The sequence below is a fragment of the Homo sapiens genome, chromosome 11 (genome assembly GCF_000001405.40).
Source record: "Homo sapiens chromosome 11, GRCh38.p14 Primary Assembly".
NCBI lineage: Eukaryota > Metazoa > Chordata > Mammalia > Primates > Hominidae > Homo > Homo sapiens.
In genome coordinates this window covers 129092258-129106289 of record NC_000011.10, presented here as the reverse complement: position 1 = coordinate 129106289, position 14032 = coordinate 129092258, and the positions used below count along the sequence as shown (strand labels likewise).

Genomic DNA, 14032 nt, shown 5'->3' with positions numbered 1-14032 from the left:
ACTTTTGATGGGCACCTAGGTTGATTCCATGTCTTTGCTATTGTGAATAGTGCTGTGATGAACAAGTGAGTGCATGCGTCTTTTTGGTAGAACAATTTGTTTTCTTTTGTATATATATCCAGTAATGGGATCGCTGGGTCAAATGGTAGTTCTGTTTTTAAAGTTCTTTTGAGATATCTCCAAACTGCTTTCGACAATGGCTGAAGTAATTTACATTCCCAACAACAGTATATAAGCAATTCCTTTTCTCTGCAGCCTCACCAACATCTGTTGTCTTTTGTCTAGTCAGATTTTAACTTTAGTTATTGTACCTTTTGGCCCCAGACTTTGTTTTTTTAATACTTTATAACTTCTTGCTAATATTCTCATATGTTCATACATCAGTTTCTTGATTTCCCTTATTTCTTTGTCCATGGTTTCTTTGAACTTTTTGAATGTGTTGAATACAGTTTATTTAGTGTCTAGTTAAGTCCCATATATAGACTTCTCAGGTACAGTTTTTGTTTTTTCCTCTGATGAATGTGTGCTTTCCTGTTTCTTTGTATAACTTGTGGCTTGTGTGGCATACTGTACATTTGAATATTATAGTGTAGTAACTCTGGAAACTGGGTTTTCGTCTATCCTTAAGAGTTTGATTTTTTTCATTGTTCATGGCTGCGGTTTGTTTGGTGATTTTTTTTTCCAAACTGTTTTAGTGAAGACTGTATTCCTTGTCATATGTATTTAGTAAAGTCTTTCTTCTTTTAGCTTGTGTTTAGGTAGTGTTTTGTCAGGGATTTTTTTGAATGCCAGGAGTGAAAAATAAAAATCAATGAAAAAGCCACTTTCTCCGGTCTTTACGTGTTGCTTCTGTACTGGAATACTCATTCAACACCTAGCGAAGCTGTTTACAGGTCTGCCTTCGTCTTCCCTTCATGTTACACTTATCCTAGAGGTCAGCTGGAGGTGAAAACCTAGGGACTTCTTAGCTTTTTGTGAGTATGTGTCCTACCCTGTGCGTGTGCATGGCTTTCAAAATACTTCCATATACCCAGGCACTTTTGAATGCTGTCATTTCCCAGAGACCTCTCTACTCAGCTTTCCCTCTTAGATTTTAGGTTGTTTACTTTATGTCTCAAATATAATTTTTTTGCTCCAGATAGTTGTAGAGTTTTTGTTTGCCTTACTGTATTTTTAAGCAATATTTAATGGTTTTCCTCCTTGAATGAGTTCCATATTAGGTGAAATGTAGGTAAGCACCTTGCATCAGTTCTTCAGGTAGCCTCTAGACAGGTTAGAAGAGACAAACAATAGTTTGTGAATAGGGTCTGTCTATTCCTTTCAGGCCCGGTGAGGGTTGGCATCATTAAGACTACTGCTGAGCCAGAGAGGTTTGGGGCAAGCACAAGTAAAAATGCCACAAAGCTTTCCTATTTTGAAGTGGCTTTTTCCTTGATTCAGTGATCTCTTGGTTATTCTAAACCCTTTACTGTTTTCTGGAGTACTGAGAAAGTTGACTCTGAGAGATTGTGCTTGTTTTTTGTGATTTTTGGAGGGATTGAAGCTTGTAGCCACCTACTTTACCATTTTATTGACACCATTTGGCCATCTTCTTTCTCTTTTAGTTTTTTCTTTTCTTCTTATCTCCTTGCTTTTTTTTTTCTGAAATGTTCTCTCTCCTTATGCCTTCCTCCCCATTTCTTCCTAGAGAGATTAATTTTATTTCTAGTCTTAATTTCTTTTAAGGTTATTGACATTTAAAAATTTTATCCTCTTCCTTTTGGTTTGGAAACCAGAAAATAGAAAATATGTATCATTTTTCTATTCTTTTTATGGCTGCAATTAAAATCATAACTCAAAAACCTAATTTAAAGGCTAAATTTTTTGGTATCTCTGATTCTGTCATAAAGTATCAGCATTTAGAATATTTTAACTGTGATCACTCTTTCCTCCATGTTAGTGTTGTTCAGGATGATAATTCTAACTTTTCATCTTTCATAATTAAATACTATTCTTATATAGCTAAATTTGTTTCGATTTATAAACTTATTTCCTGAATTTCTTGTTCAATATTTCTACCTTACTTCTCAGTTTATTCTTTTAGAATCCCTTTTCTTCTGAGGTACATATTTTAGAAATTTTTTTTGGTGAGGTTTTGTTGGTGGGAACTCTTCAGTTTTTGTTCATCAGAAAATGCTTTTTTTGGCTCTTATTTTTACATGATAGTTTAGGTATGAATAACATCTTGGTAAATCTCTTTTCTCAGAACTTAAAAGATATTCTTAAACCGTTCCATCTGTTACTGTTGAGATGTTAGGTGTTTTATAGTTACTTAGATATTTCCTATTTCTGGAACTGTTTATTCCTTCCTGCAGTTCTGGGTTTTTGTCTAGTACCATTTCTCTTTAGCCTGAAGAACTTGTTTTAGTTTTTTGGTTGGACTAGTCTACTGGAGACAGATTCTTTCAGATTATTTTTATTTGTGAATATTTTTATGTTGCTTAATTTCTGATGGTTATTGGCATGAATTATATTAATAGTATTGACAACATTTCTTTCAGCACTTAAAAGATGTTTTCTTTTTGTCTTCTCCCCTCTCTTGTTTCTGATGAGAAGTCAGCTGTTATTTATACTTTTCCACCATGAGTCATGTATGTTTTTTTCTTTATAGATTGAAAGTTTTTTCTTTATCTTTCCTTTTCAAAATTATAATTATGATATGTTTAGTACTGATTTATTCATTTAGTTTGGGGTGCACTGAGTTTCTTGATTTTGAAGCTGATGTTTTCACATATTTTGGAAAGTTCTCATCTGGTATCTCCTGAGATATTCTGCTTCATTCTCTCTTATCTCCTTCTGGTACTCCAATTATATCTATGGTTATATGTGTTTGACATTCTCTTAGGGAGCTGAACTGTATTGTTATTTTTGTTTATTCTTTTTTTCTCTTAGTGATTCAGTGTGGATACTTTTCATTGACCTGTTTTCAAGTTCACTGCTCCTTTCATTTACTGTTGCCAGTTTGCTCTTAAAATCTGATACAAAAAATCATTTTTCGCATTTTCTATGGAACTTTTTTTCATAGTTTTAATCTCTGCTGGATTTCCCATATTTTCTTTTGACTGCTGTAAGTACCACACATATGTAGAATCAAGTATCTGTCTTTTTGTGTTTGGTATATTTAACATGAGCACAGTGTTCATCCCTGTTGTAGCATATGTCAGAATTTTTTCTTTTTAAAGGCTGAGGCTGAATAATATTTCATTTTGCCTGTTTGTATACATGTGTAAATGTGTGCACCACATTTTGTTTATCCAGTCATCTGTTGATGGGCATTGGGTTACTTCTGCTTTTTAGTTATGATGAATAATGCTTCTGTGAACATGGGTTTACAAATGTCTCTTTGAGACTCTGTTTTGTCTTTGGGGGGTGTATACCCAGAAGTGGAATTGCTAGGTCATATAGTAATTCTTCTAGGTCATATAATAATTCTCCTTTTAAGCTTTTTGAGGACCACCATTCTCTTTTCCACAGTGGCAGTACGAATACCACCAACAATGTACAAGGGTTTTAGTCACTCTAATTTGAAACCAGCACTTGATGTTTTCTGTTTTTGGATAATAGGTGTCCTTATGTATGTGAAGTGGTATCTCATTGTAGTTTAGATTTGCATTTGCTAATGATTAGTGATTTTGAACATCTTTTTGTGTGCTTACTGGTCATTTGTATATCTTCTTAGGAGAAATGTCTATTCTCTAGTACTTTGCCCATTTTTAAATTGTTTTTGTTTTTGTTGTTGTTAGGTGATAGAAGTTCCCTCATTTTGAACCTGTGGTTCTCACTGCATGTGACATAGGTGTCTTGAAGACAGCATACCAATGGGTCTTGGTTCTTTATCCAGTTTGCCACTGTGTGTCTTTTAATTGGGGTATTTAGCCCATTTACATTCAAGGTTAGTAGTGATATGTGTGGATTTGATCCTGTCATCATGATGTTAGCTGGTTATTTTGCAGACTTGTTTATGTGGTTGCTTTATAGTATCATTGGTCTGCTTATTTCAGTGTGTTTCTGTAGCAGCTGGTAACAGTTTTTCTTTTCCATATTTAGTGCTTCCTTCAGGAGCTCTTGTAAGGCAGGTCTGGTGGTAACTAATTCCCTCAGCATTTGTTTGTCTGAAAAGGATCTTATTTCTCCTTTGCTTATGAAGCTTAGTTTCACCAGATATGAAATTCTGTCTTGGAATTTTTTTAAGAGTGTTGAATATTGACTCTCAATATCTTCTGGTTTGTAGGGTTTCTGCTGAGAGGTCTGTGGTTAGTCTGATGGGCTTCCCTTTGTTGGTGACCTGACCTTTCTTTCTAGCTGCCTTTCACATTTTTTCTTTCATTTCGACCTTGGAGAATCTGACAATTATGTGTCTTGTGGATGATCTTCTTGTGAAGTATCTTACTTGAATTCTCTACATTTCCTGAATTTGAATGTTGGCTTCTCTAGTTAGGTTGGGGAAGTTCTCATGGATGATATCCTGAAATACGTTTTCCAATTTGGTTCCATTCTCTCCACCTCTTTAAGGGCCACCAGGGGGTTGTAGATTTGGTCTCTTTACACAATCCCATATTTCTTGGAGGTTTTATTTGTTCATTTTCATTCTTTTTTCTCTATTCTTGTCTGTCTGTCTTATTTCAGAATGCCTGTCTTCAAGCTTTGAGATTCTTTCCTATGCTTGGTCTGTTCTGCTGTTAATACTTGTGATTGCATTATAAACTTCTTGTAGTGTGTTTTTCAGCTCTATCAGGTTGGTTACATTATTTTCTATACTGGCTATTTTGTCTGTCAGCTCCTGTATTGTTTTATCATGCTTTTTAGCTTCCTTGGATTGGGTTTTAGTGTACTCCTGTAGCCCAGTGATCTTCATTCCTATGCATATTCTGAATTCTATTTCCATTTCAGGCCAGTTCAGGACCCTTACTGAAGAGAGGATACATTTGTTTGGAGAATAGAAGGCACTCTGGCTTTTTGAGTTTTCAGGGTTCTTGTGCTGATTCTTTCTCATGTTTGTGGGCTTATGTACAGTCTTTTAGGTTGCTGGCCTTTGGATGTTTTTTTTCCCCCTTTTATCCTATTTGATGACCTTTAGGGTTTGATTGTGTTATGAAGGGGATTCAGCTGATTGGCTTCATTTCTGGAAATTTTTGGGGGGACCAGCGCTCTGCTCCCAACTGTATTACATCCAGACTTTGTTCTCTGTCTCCTTGAGGTTAGGAATCCACTGTGTTGGTGGGGACCAAAGTGCTCCTGGACTGCTGGTCACTACACTCCAATGGGTGGTGACAGTCAAAGCATTTCATAGTGTGGTGATAGCAGGGTCCATCCTTGTAACAGCAGCTGCAGCAGAGTGCTAGTGGGTGCCAGGGTGCTTGGCTCCCTATGGGCATTCACCACAGTGGCAGGGGCAATGCAGCTGGGTGGTGGGTGGAGGCCCTCTGTTGGTTACTGTGCACACAGTTGTGCTGGAGGTGGTGTTGGCTTGGGAGCTGGTGGGCGCAGGTCTAGGTGCCTTCTCTGTGCCACATAAGCAGAAGTGGTCACTCAGGGTGGGAGAGGATTCGCTGTTCTCTGTGCAGTGTTAGTATAAGGGCAGGGTGCAGGCAGGGTTGGGGTTGGCTGGCTCTGCCCACCAAGGCTCCGTCTACAGTGGTGGTCGGCAGGTGGAGGTAGGGTGGATTGCACTCTTGTTCACTGGTGGAGAAAGGAAAGCGAAACCTGCCCATACTGACATGTGCCAGCAAAGTGATGTGTGGAGTTGCCATGGCCTCAGGGGAAGCTGACATATGGGGAGGGAGTCTGGGCTGATGCATGGTCATAGATGCCACCCCTCTGCAGCTCTCCACAGGTCAGGCATGGTCCACCATTGCAGAAGCTGTGATATAGCTCCCAGGACATGTGAGGCTGCCCTGCAAGCATGTGTGGCCAGGCTGGGTCCTTGGGAGAGGCCAGCACACCAAGGGATGGTCAGATTGAACTGGCCCCATCTGATGGGCAAGACCATCTTGCAGAGATCAGGTCTAGCAGTTCCCCTTGAAGTAAAGCCACCTATGGTTGCAAGTTGAGCTTATGGGCATGACCACTCCTAAATGTGCTCTGCTATGGATGCTCCTGCATCAAACCTTCTGGGCTCCACATCAACTGGATTGCTGCCCCTACCACTTCTCTAAGAAGCTCTCCCTGCCAATTCAAGTGTCCATGGTGGTCAAAGGGGGGTCTCTGCCTGCCAGGGTTTCAGAGGCCTGTAGCGAGTGCAGGTTGCTCCTTGCCAGTTCAATTCACCTCTTCCCCGGGAGCTGTTGGGATCCAGGAACGAGTCCTGGTGCAGTGCACAGTAGCCCCATGCAGGGTTCCCAGCTTTCTCCCCCTTCAGCCTAGCTTCTGTGTCTTCCTTGTGTACACTCTGGGTGCCTTCCCTCTGAAGATCTGTTAGAAGCACGCCAGTCATCTTGGTCTCTCAGTGGGAGCTGTTTCACCTGGCTGCATCTAGTCAGCCACCTTGTTCTCCCCCACTGCTTATAATTGTATCTTCTTTGTGTATTGAACCTTCTATTATCATATACTATTCTTTTTTGTTTCTAAACTTTTTGGTTTAGTGTCTGTTTTATTTATTTTTAGTATAGTCACCTCCACTCTCTTTTGGTTTCAATTTGCATGGAATATCTTTTTCCATCCTTCCACTTTCAATCTATTTGTGTATTTGGGTCTAAAGTGTATCTCCTGTAACCACCATATATAGTAATGCATCACTTAACAGGGTTATTTTCAGAGGGATATATTATTAGGTGATTTTGTAGTTGTGAATATCTCTAAAACATACTTAGAATAGGTATAGCCTACCATACACCCAAGCTATCTGGTGTAGCCTATTGCTTCTAGGCTACAAACTGGTTCAGAATGTTAATCTGCTGAATACTATAGGCAGTTGTAACACAATGGTAAGCATTTGTGTCTCTAAACATGGAAGAGGTACAGTAAGAATGTGGTTTTATAATCTTATGGGCCCACTGTGATATATGCAGTTTGTCATTGACCAAAATGTTGTTATGGTGGCACATCACTGTAATTGAATTATGTTACTTTGTTATTCTGCCAATCCCTGTCTTTGATTGTACTGTTTATTTCATTCACATTAAAAGTAATTACTGATAAGGAGGGACTTCTCTCATTTTTCTATATGTTTTCTTTATATCTTATAGCTTTTTTCCCTATATTCCTGCATTAATGCTTTTTAAATGTGTTTAGTTGATTTTTTATTGTGAAATGTTTAAATTTCTTTCTTATTTTCTTTTGTTCACATTCTATAGCTATCTTTTTGTGGTTGCCATGAGGATTACATTTAACATTCTAAAGTTATAACATTCAAATTTGAATTTATGCCAGTTTAAATTTATTAACATAGAAAAACTCTGCTCCTGTAATAGCTCCATGGTCTCCTCTTTTGGTTGTTGATTATCACAAAATTACATCTTTATACATTTTTCTGCTCTGAAACATAAATAATTTTTAAAATATATTAGCCTTTGAAATGATGTAGGAAAGAATGTGGAATTAAAACCAAAGTTAAAATAATGCTAGCCACACTTTGGGAGGCCGAGGCGGGTGGATCACGGGGTCAGGAGATCAAGACCATCCTGGCTAACACAGTGAAACCCCGTCTCTACTAAAAATACAAAAAATTAGCTGGGCATGGTGGCAGGCACCTGTAGTCCCAGCTATTCAGGAGGTTGAGGCAGGAGAATTGGTGTGAACCCGGGAGGCAGAGCTTGTAGTGAGCCGAGATCGCGCCACTGCACTCCAGCCTGGGAGATGGAGCAAGACTCCGTCTCAAAAAAAAAAAGAAAAAAGAAAAAGAAAAATAAATAATGCTAGCCTTTAGACTAATAATTTTCTTTTAAGTATTAGTCTCTTAAATCATTTAGATAACAAAAAGTGGAGTTACATATCATTGTACAGTAATACAGGCTTTTATAATTGCCCATATATTTACCTTTATTGAGTTCTTACTTCTTCATTAGGGTTTGAGTTAGTAGTGTTTGTGTGTATGTGTTTTAATTTATTTTACCCTGCAGGTATCCCTTGAGAATTTCTGTTTGGCAGGTCTAGTGGTAACTGACTCCCTCAGCTTTTCTTTATCTGGGAACATCTGAAGTTGGGATTTTTAAAATCTAGGAACATCTCCCTTACTTTTTAAGGACAGTTTTGCTGGTTATAGAATTAGTGGTTGACAGTTCTTTTAGCACTTTGAATATATTTACCTGCTGTTTTTTGACCTTTAAAGTTTCTAATGAGAAATCTCCCAGTCTTACTGATGATCCCTTGCAGGTGTTGAGTCACTCCTATCTTGATTCTTTCAAGATTGCCTCCTTGTCTTTGTATTTTGAACATTTGATTATCGGGTGTCTTAGTGTGGGTCTCTCTGAGTTTATCTTACTTAGAGTTCATTGAGCTTCTTGGATGTTGATATTCATGTCTTTTATCAAATTTGGGAAGTTTGGGGCCATTATCTTTTCAAATAATCTCTTTGTCCCTTCTCTCTCTTTTTTTATTCTGGTACTCCTACATGTGTATGTTGGTTTGCTTGAGGGTGTCCCATGGGTCCCTTAGGCTCTTGTTACTTATCTTCAATTATTTTTTCTTCCTATTACTCAATCATCTCTTTTGTCTTATCTTTAAGTTAACTAATTGTTTCTTCTGCCTGCTCAAATCTGCCTTTGAATCCCTCTAGTGAATTTTTCATTTCAGTTGTTATACTTCTCAGCTACAAAATTTGATTTTGGTTTCTAGGCTTTTTATCTCTTTATTGATATTTCTATTTTGTTTATATAATGTTTCCTTGACTTTTTCCACAACTTCCTTTAGGTCTTCGAACATCTTTAAGATAGTTGTTTGTCTAGTAAACCTACTATCAGATCTTTTTCAGAAACAGTTTTTTATTTCTATTTTTATTAAAAAAATTTGTAGATTTGTAGAGATGGTGTTCTATGTTGCTCAAGCTGGACTTGAACTCCTGGCCTCAAGCTATCCTCCTGTCTCAGCCTCCCAAAGCACTGGATTACAGGTGTGAGCCACCATGATTCATTTTGATTCATTTTTTCCTTTGAAAGGTTCATACTTTCTGTTTCTTTATATGCCTTGTGATTTTTTTTTTTTTGAAAAATGGACATTTGAATCTAATGATGTGGTAACTCTGAAAACCAGATTCTCCTTCTTCCCCAGGGACTGCTGTTTTTATTGTTTTTGTTTGTTTTTTATTGTTCTTGTCCGTCTCTGTGCCAAAGATCAGCCTGAGTTGGAACTTAATGTCTTCTTTTGTCTTTCCTAAGTCTGTACCTTTCTCTGAGAGTGTGCAGTCACTTTCTAATTTTCTCTGTAAGTCTTTTGAATAGGTCAGTTGCTTTTGAATGCCCTAGTCTATTATATTTTCCCAAAGGAGGAAAAAGAGAAAAATCAAGGGGGACAGGGAAGGAAAAGGGCGTTGGCCCTTTATGTCTGCTGCCAGTCACTTTAGCCAGAGGAGCATGGGCCTGCAAACAGTGGAGCTAGGTGTAATGGACACATAGCTATTTGTCTGCACCTCTGCAATCCAAAGCAGTGATCCGCAGCCACAGCATAGATCTCTGAAATTTGGAGGCAGTGTTCTTTTTGTCTGTCTTGACTCTTGTAAGGTATGTTTATGCTGCTCCAGGAGTATGTGCACAGCTGCCTGCTATAGGGGTGGCAGGGGCGGGGCGGGGCCGGGGGGGTATAGGGAGCTGTTACTTTCTTAAGTGCTGATGTTGACCAAAATGAACTACAGTTTCCCATCCAAGCCTTCCCTTGGAAGTAGCAGGCCTTCAGTAGATACCAGAGTTGTCAAAATAGTTATCCACCGGACAGATTCTGCCAGTGCAGTTATTGTCTAGGTGGAAAGATCGATTCCTGGTGAGTCTGCCGTTTTTCCAGAATCTTCTCTTTCTCGTGTGCTTTTGCGTGTTGTTTGCCTGTTGAACTGTATTTTAGAATCTCAATTATATTTAATTTACATTCTCTTTCTTATTATTTTTATATCTGGCCCAATTCTGTGTCTGCTTTATTTTACCCTTGCCTCTCATGACCATGTGTCACATTTGCTTGCTTATCTGTGTGTTTTGTAATTCTTTAATGTGAAATATATAAGAAACAGCTGAGACTAAAGTCAGTAAACTTACCTCCAGGAAAGGGCTTATCTCTTCTTCTTTCAGTCTGTTGAAATGAGGTGCTGCATCAGGCTGATCTGTATTTGATAAGATCTGGTCTTTTATGACAGCTTTACTTTGATTGAGTTTATCACTACTTTAAATATTTTGAAGTTAAGGTTCTGAGATTTCTTTCACAAGGAAAACTGAAGAGTGGTGAGATGCTGAAGGTATCTTTGTGCTTTGCTATGAAGCCCAGATCTTCTGAACTGAGGGAGAACATGTTCTCTTTCTCTGCTTTGCAGCCTGGATGCTTATTCTCTTGTCTGTCCAGTTCTTTCCCCCAGTATTTTGTGCCTCTGGAGAGCACTCTTCCCCTTGCCCTATGCAAGAGCTTTGAGGGTAGCTGTGAAGGCCTGCAGTTTCTCCCAGCTTTTCTGTGCCACCTCCATCCTTCAGTTGTTGAGTGTCCTGAGTGCCTTCAGAGGGGTATCTTCCAGTTCTCCTTTCCTCTGTTTCACTGCCCTGCTCCCAGTCAAGGGAGGTTAGCTGCCTTGTCCTTGGGGAGGCTTCCCATACTTCACAGGTTCATTCTCTCAGTTCTCTTCCTCTCCTGCAGCCTTGGTTTACTCACCCGATATCCCTGGTGAGTACCTGTGGGAATCAGTTGATGGGTGAGTGTCAACTCTCTGCTACAGAGAGTTGTAATTTTAGTTTATCACTTTAGTGATTACACTACAGTGTAATTTTAGTTTATCACTTTAGTTTATATGCAGTTACTCAAGGTTTGGCTGGCTTCTCCTTACCCTGTCTAACATAGATTCTTTTTTCTCTTGTATCTCTGCCAGGCGTCCAAGCACATCTTTGAGTCACTTCTGTCTCATGAAAGTGTTGTCACTTTCTGAAAACTAGTTCATGTAGGTTTCTTTTCACCCTTAATTATTTTATTTCTTTTTTAAACTATGCTTTTATCATTAACCTGGCTTTTTTGGGCTAATGGGAAAATGATTGTTATCTTGTGAACAACTTGTACTTAATATCTGAAGTTTAAAAAAATACTTTGTGATACCACTTTCCTCAATAGAGAATATATCTTCATCAACCTTGTACTTCATATAGTATGAATTATAATGGTACATTACATTTATTAAGTATTAGTTACCTGGGTGGACACTGTCCATGCATCATCTCATTTAATACCCACAAACTTGAGAATACATAATATTATATCATCCTCATTTTCCAGTTGAGAGCCTAAGCAGGTAGGTCAATATTACATTGCAAATTATAAACACATTTGAACTCAGGGTTGTCCATCTCTGGGACCGCGTTTGCAAATTGACGTCCAAAGATGGGGCAGGTGTGTAACATAAGTGAGTAAAGCAAGTGGGGTATAAGAAAAATAACAAAGCAAGTAGCATGATGAATGACAATTAATACTCAGCCTAGATACTGGCAAAAAAACTACAGGGTAGTCAGTTCTGTGACAAACTTTCTTGGGGAATATACACCTCATTTAAAGGTGATGGTCATTTCTCAGCTGTAGCTAGTTGTTGCCCGTGTGAGAATGTAGGTCCAATCTTCCCAATTTTCTGATTTTTCAGTAGAAGCCAGAAATCTGTATTTTTCACATGAAACCTCTTAGCTTCTACATGTCGGTAGCTGGTTTAAATAAAACTAAAATCCAGTATGCAGACCTACATGGTGAATTTTTTTTTGAAATTTTAAATTTCAAATCTTTGTGGATACAGAGTAGGTTTATATATTTATAAGGTATATGAGATGTTTTCATACAGGCATGCAATGTGTAATAATAGCATCATGGAAAATGGGGTATCCATCCTTCAAGCATTTATCCTTTGTGTTACAGACAATCTAGTTATACTATTTTAGTCATTTTAAACTGTACAATTATTATTAACTATAGTCACCTTGTTGTGCTATCAAATACTAGGTCTTTTTCATTCTTTCTGTTTATTTTGTACCCATTAACCATCCCCACCTCCTCCCCACCCCACTACATGGTGATTTTGAAATTAAACACGTCCATAGGCCCAACCTGTTATCTGCAGCCAGTTTTTAATCTATGTAATAAGGTCTGAACTCTTTTAAACTGTTATGTCATACTATCTCTCAGTGCTTAGTTTCATGTATGTACTAAATAGATTAAGGAAGTGAAGACCCTTATACGTAAGCTACACAGATACAGATATATATTTTATCTGAAACACCAAGTCCTTCATTCATCTGCCTTAAGCAATGAAGTTCTCATATAAGATATGTCTCACATTAAGCTGATGCTCACCCGGAGATGATGCTCCAGGTATTATGAATGCTTAGTTTATTCTCGTTTACTAATCATGACTTTCTTTCCCCCTCTTCTTTTTTTTCTGTGATGTAGCTTTCACTTTCAGAAGAACAGAATGAAGTAATGAAAAATGGCTGTGAATCTAAAGAGCTGGTCTACCTCGTGCAGATTGCTTGTCAGGTGATTTTGTGAATGTATTCTCCATTTCATATGAAGTTAAGAATTAGGTTGAGTGATGATTAAATTTATTTCTATAACGTGATTTGCCTAAAGGATATAATCCACAGAAAAATACTTATATAATACTGAAATGAGATTGTGCAATAATGACTATTGTAAGAAAATAAATGGTATTATTTTAAAACAGAAATAAGTGTATTCATACAATACTACATGGAATGTAGAGTTGAGCATTGCAACTTGCATGTCTCCTCTTTGCACTTTTAGAAAGTTCCTAAGGCTTTTGACACTTATGAGTAAATAACAATGACTGTGGTAATCAAGATTTTTTGTTTCATTCTTTAATCTATACCCTTAAGTGAAAATACTTTTATTAAGACTAAAGGAAAGATATTTATTGATCACTACATTAAATGATTCAGCTATTGATCACATATTATGGCAAAAGAGTAGATTATGTTATCTCTGCTTCAGATGCACACTTTTTCTAACTGAGACATTAAGTTTCTCTTCGGTGTAACAATAGGATATGTGCATGTTTTTGTAGCTTGTTATTTCTTGACTTTTAATATTGGAACTGTTTTGAAGGTAATGACCATGACTTGTTCTTAATGAGACTTAAAATATGTCATTTGTAGCATTGATTATTTCCCCCATCATGTAAGCACTTAGTATAGTTCTTTTATTCACTTATTCTACATTCTTTGAGCTTTTTGCCTACTGGTGAATTAGTCATTGTAAAGAAAGCATTTAGGAGGAAAGCTTTCTTCTATACAAAGTTTTCAGCTATCTTTGGGAGAGAGTAAGATATGGGCATTTATATTTTTTCTCAAAAAGTATTAATCATGTACCTGAAGCTAAATGATCCAAAAAAGTCCAATGCTTTCATCGTGTGTGATATACTGAAGTTTTTAGTTGTGGTCACCTTAAGGAAAACTTACCAGAATTAAGTGCGTTTCTTTTTAGGTGTCAGAGTATAGGATTGGAAATCAAATTTTAGCTTGTATATAAATAAGTAAGATGGCCAAATTCACGTATTGTTTATATATGTTTTATTGCATGTCACCTTGGCTTCTTTGAGAATGTAGGGAAGCTCTTAATTACTAAGTTTCATGTCATATTTCATAAAATGCTTCCATTTGGTGAGTTAATTTTTAAGTGAAAATATTGAGTGCATTTATGATAAGTGATTACTAATAGATGGATGAAAATCATATCTTTTTTATCTAGAGTACATCGTTGGTATGTCAGGAATGAATTTCTTAATCCCTCTACAACCTAAGACATTTTAGCATCTCTTTTTTCTCACTGTTAATTTCCATATGCTTCGAGAATGCAAATGTTCTTTTTCTTATGAACAAAG

At 37.4% G+C, this 14032-nt stretch overlaps 1 protein-coding gene across 13 annotated transcripts in view; it reads left to right on the top strand.

The window, feature by feature from the left end:
* ARHGAP32 (Rho GTPase activating protein 32) overlaps window positions 1-14032 on the top strand; it is a 314573-nt gene that overhangs the window by 173343 nt on the left and 127198 nt on the right. For all 13 annotated transcript variants that reach the window (XM_047427929.1, XM_047427927.1, NM_001378025.1 and 10 more), the window contains one exon: window positions 12583-12669. In XM_047427929.1, coding sequence (XP_047283885.1) covers window positions 12583-12669 — 87 coding nt within the window. The remainder of the gene's footprint in view (window positions 1-12582; window positions 12670-14032) is intronic.